The sequence below is a fragment of the Homo sapiens genome, chromosome 18 (assembly GCF_000001405.40).
Source record: "Homo sapiens chromosome 18, GRCh38.p14 Primary Assembly".
Classification (NCBI taxonomy): Eukaryota; Metazoa; Chordata; class Mammalia; order Primates; family Hominidae; genus Homo; species Homo sapiens.
Window position 1 is genome coordinate 65,561,627 of NC_000018.10, and position 5,208 is coordinate 65,566,834.

General features: G+C 34.6%; 1 annotated feature.

Moving 5' to 3' along the window:
* Positions 2,312–3,511: an enhancer, noted in NCBI's record as "BRD4-independent group 4 enhancer chr18:63231174-63232373 (GRCh37/hg19 assembly coordinates)". NCBI's record gives its function as "activates an origin of replication core promoter dependent on BRD2, P300/CBP, MED14 and CDK7 cofactors, and independent of BRD4, by STARR-seq in HCT116 cells {active_cell/tissue: HCT116}" and the evidence as "EXISTENCE:reporter gene assay evidence [ECO:0000049][PMID:35650434]".

Genomic DNA, 5,208 nt, shown 5'->3' on the forward strand with positions numbered 1-5,208 from the left:
TAATTATTTCTGGAGACCTAATATACAATATGATGACTGTAGTTAATAATAATGTACTCTGTGCTTGAAATTTGCTAATAGAGTAGATCTCACGTGTTCTTGCCATGCACACAAAAATATGATAGCTGTGTGAGGTGATGGATATGTTAATTAGCTTGATCGTGGTAATCATTTCACATTGTCTATTTATATTAAGACATCACATTGTGTACATTAAATATATAAAATTTCAATTTATCAATTATACTTCAGTTAAACTAGAAAAAAATTCAACCTGAATGACCCTTGTGGTAATGATAATGTTCTGTATGGCGACTACACCAATGCTAATATAGGTGTGTTATTGAGCTACAGCAGTGTAAGAGATTACCATCACAAAAACAGCATGGGGGAAACCACCCCCATGATGCAATTACCTCCACATGGTCTCTCCCTTGACACGTGGGAATTATGGAGATTGTAACTCAAGATGAGATTTGACTGGGGACACAAAGCCTAACCATATCAGATGGATATTATAAGAAAAAAAGAAAGCAAGAGCTGGTGAATATGTGGAGAAAAGGGAACCCTTGCAGACTGTTGATAAGAAGGTAAAGTGGTGAAATTGCAACACAAAACATGTAGAAGTTCCTTAGAATATTGAAAATAGAACTACCATATGATCCAGCAACACAACTTCTGGGTTTACATCCAAAGGAAATAAAATCACTATCTCAAGGAGATACCTGCACTCCCACGTTCATTGCAGTATTATTCACAATAGCCAATATATGGAAGCCACTTGTCTGTTGACAGTTTAATACATAAAGAAAATGTAGCATATATTTTTGTACAATAAAATGTTATTCTGACTTGAAAGAGAATGAAAAGGAAATCTTTCCATTTGCAACAACATGAGTGAAACTGTAGGACATTTTGTTCAGTAATATAAGCAAGACACAAAAGGACAAATATTGCACGATCTCACTCATATGAGGTAACTAAAATAATCAAATTTGAAGAAGCAGAAACTAGAATGGTAGTTAACCAGGGTCTGGGGAAGGAGGACATCGCGAGTTATTCAATGAGCATAAAGTTTCAGTTATGCAAGGTAAATAAATTCTAGAGTTCCTCTGTAAAACATTATGCCTGTAATTAACAATACTGTATTGAATATTTTAAAAATTTGTTAGGAAACTAGATCCCAAATTAAGTGTTCTCACCATACACAAAAATGATAACATGGTGTCTTTTAGAGAGTAATCGAAATGTGATTGTATCAAAGAAAAATACTGCTTTTATATTCAACTTGGTAATTCTCAAAATAAGTTTTTTAAACCAAAGGTTTGCTGTAGTTGTGGAGCTGAACTTACTGAGAGCCTTTTTGTTTCTTTAAGCTATTGTCTGAAATTGAGAACGAAATTATTAAAAATAAAGGATTTATTTCAACCTTGTTGCTTAAATGTGTAGTTATATTCCATAAATACAAAGATTTAAAAAACAATACATTCCCTATTTTTGTGACACTTGATAAGAGCATATTTACATGTATTTATGTCAAATATGTATAACTGATTAATTATTGAAAAATTGTTCTACTAAACAAAGTTCCAGCCATTCATTTACTATAGCAGCTGCAGTGAATATATCCCTCTCCATTATTTATATTGATTTTTATTTCTGGAAATGCTGCATGGGCACCATTTTGTCAAGAATGAATATTATTTTTAAAAATAGCTGAAAAATTCACAATTTTTCAATTAATAGTACAGAACATAATGCTTTTCTACTCGACAGTATAAAAAAGCCTTATTAATGCTATTTGAGGCTTCTTTTAAAATGAATAAAAAATATTTTCTTAAAAATTGTGAAAGAAAGTATCTTGGGCCCCCAAAATCACCAAGCTAAAAGGAAAACTCAAGCTGGAAACTGCTTAGGGCAAACCTGCCTCTCCTTCTACGCAGTTATCCATCCCTCTGCTCACTGAAATCAATGCATATCTGATTGCCTCCTTTGGAAAGGCTAATCAGAAACTCAAAAGAACACAACTGCTTGTCTCTCACCTATCTGTGACCCGGAAGACCCCTCCCAACTTTGAGTCTTCCTTCCTTTGCTTCAAGTTGTCCCGCCTTTCCAGACCGAACCAATGTACTTCTTATGTATATTGATTGATGTCTCATATCTCCCTAAAATGTATAAAACCAAGCTGTGCCCCAACCACCTTGGGCACGTTGTCAGGACCTCCTGTGGCTGTGTCACGGAAGAGTATCCTCAACCTTGGCAAAATAAACTTTCAAAATTAACTGAGACCATTCTCAGGTTTTCTGGGTTTACAAAATTAACAGCCAAATTGTAAAATTTAAATAATCAAAAAAAGTTTAAAGTATTCTTAATGTATTAGAACACTGCCTGATACAATATCATGCAGCACGAAATAGTCTAGCTGAAGCCAGACCCAACTGGACTTGTGTGATGGCGCTGTTTTAGCCAGAGTACTGCTTTATCGCACAGACTTGAAAACATAAAGATTGAAAAATTAATCCATTTAGTGACCATAAGCAATTAAAATAGTGCATACTCAGTAATTTGAGTTTAATTTTGCAGGCAATTTTTTACTCTTGTGGTTTTTGTTTTCTTGTTGTTGTTGTTTTTCTGGCTTTTGGCCTTTTCTCTCTATTCCCTAGGGCACATACCTATTCTGTCATATTTTCTATTTGAATTACATAGTAACAATTCATACATTTAGTGATTGAACCACTAGGAATTTCCCAAGGCAAATGTGTGAGGTAGATATCCAATCTTACCTTGTTTCCAACTGTCTTAACACCAGTTACTGAAGAGTGTAGTTTCTCCTTCAGGTTATCAACGCTGCTAATGCTTATTAGTAATCCCTGGCGGCTCAGAAGCAGTAATTATCTATCATGGCCGTTCATTAGAGTTGTCTGAGAAGCTTTTAAAACACACCAATGCCTGAGCCTCACCTTCAGAAATTGTTCTGGGGCAGGGCCAAGGTGTTGAGACGTTTTAATCACACAGATTATTGGACTTGTGGTTAAATTTTGTCCGGAGTTGGTTCCTTCCGGTGGGTTCTTGGTCTCGCTGACTTCAAGAATGAAGCCGCAGACCTTTACAGTGAGTGTTATGTCTGGAGTTTGTTCCTTCAGATGTGTCCAGAGTTTCTTCCTTCCGGTGGGTTAGTGGTCTCACTGACTTCAAGAACGAAGTCTCAGACCTCCACAGCAAGTGTTACAGCGTGTTACAGCTCTTAAAGGTGGTGTGGACCCAAAGAATGAGCAGCAGCAAGATTTATTCTGAAGAGCTAAAGAACAACGCTTCCACAGCACGGAAGGGAACCTGAGCGGGTTGCTGCTGCTGGCTGGGGTGGCCAGCTTTTATTCCATTATTTGTCCCTGCCCATGTCCTGCTGATTGGTCCATTTTACAGAGTGCTGATTGGTCCATTTTACAGAGTGCTGATTGGTCCATTTTACAGAGTGCTGATTGGTGCATTTACAATCCTTTAGCTAGACACAGAGCGCTGATTGGTGTTTTTACAGAGGGCTGATTGGTGCATTTACAATCCTTTAGCTAGTCACAGAGCACTGATTGGTGCGTTTTTACAGGGTGCTGATTGGTGTATTTACAATCCTTTAGCTAGAGAGAAAAGTTCTCCGAGTCCCCACTCAATCCAGGAAGTCCAGCTGGCTTCACCTCTCAAAATGATTTAAGCCTGTTCTAGGGTTAAATTGCTGGAGTCTGAATCCTGGTTCTATCTGCTGCTAATGGTGGCATTGGAAAGTTACTTTACATTTCTGTGCCTCAGTTTCCTCACCCAGAAAATCATCATCCTAATAGATTTTAATACATGGACTTTCATAATTATATAAAATAATGCAGAAATAATTAGCCATAATGACTAAAGTGGCTATGAAAAAATAAGGATGCAAGCACCCAAGAGAAAGTAACACCAACAAAACCTTCCCATTAAAGAAATTCTTAGAAATATTTTATGAGATTGAACGTGCAAAGGATAAAATGTTGGAAACTGATGCAAACTTTAAGAGAGGCAGTTGGCCTCACTCTGTATCCTGAAATTACACCATGAGAAGAGTGCTGGCTCTCTTCAAACTACTCATAAGTTTTTTACAGAAACATAAATATTTTCTGTCAATGTTTCTGATATTTTATCTTAAAGTATACTAAATATGCATTAGTTTTACTATTGTTTTCATTTTTCTATCCACTTTTAACCAACAATAGGAGGCTGTTCAATGTTTTCACAAAAATTTTCATAGGTCACAGAACAATCATTTTTTCTATTAACTATTAAGATCATTTTGCACTTTGAGAGTGTAAGATTAAAAGCCACTAAAAATATATTCATTCAAGTCCTTTCTGAAATTATGATATTCATCAAATGTGAATGGAAAGAAAGGAACAAATGAAAGATAATATTACTTTTCACAAGTATGTCGTCTAGTACAGATAATAACAAGCCTTCTAATTATAATTTAAAACATTATATAGTACAAAAAAATACTTGTAAGCTTTTTTGTTTACATACATCAAAAATATCAGTTGATGGTATTCAAATGTGTGTATGTGTGGCTGTGTTTAATATTTTATCATCTGGCTTAGATTTGTTTTTTCTTATCATCACAGAGTTGATTTTGGAGACATAATTTTTATCCAGCCATAATTGTATTGTTTTATTGGTTCTCTATAATATTTTATAGAAATCTATATATCTAAATCCATATATTTCTCCCAACGTTAAAATTATGTTCACATCACTGTATCCTTTTGAAGAAATTTTGCATTTAGTCATTACAAATGCTTACATGGAAAAGTGCATCTATAAAATTTTCACCTCACTCTTTATCTTAGAAATATTCAGCATTTCAACCAAAGTTAATGATGATGTATTTCCTCTATTACAGTTTTCTCTGTGCTTTGGTTACTAAATAAGTACATTTTTATTCTCTTAAATTGTTTAAGAGAATCTCTATTAACAGAGAAAACTACAATAGAGATAATATATCAGCCTGGTCACAATAAAGATTGCAAATAATGAAAAGAAGAAGCTCATTTTGGAGAAGTAAAGCACCAAAAAATGTGCATAATTAATAAGTAACGTTCAGTCACAGCTGAAAATGTGAGAAAATATTTGACAGATTTAGTTTATATCAGGAACCAAATGAAATATTAGATGTCCTAATTTTTTTGTTTT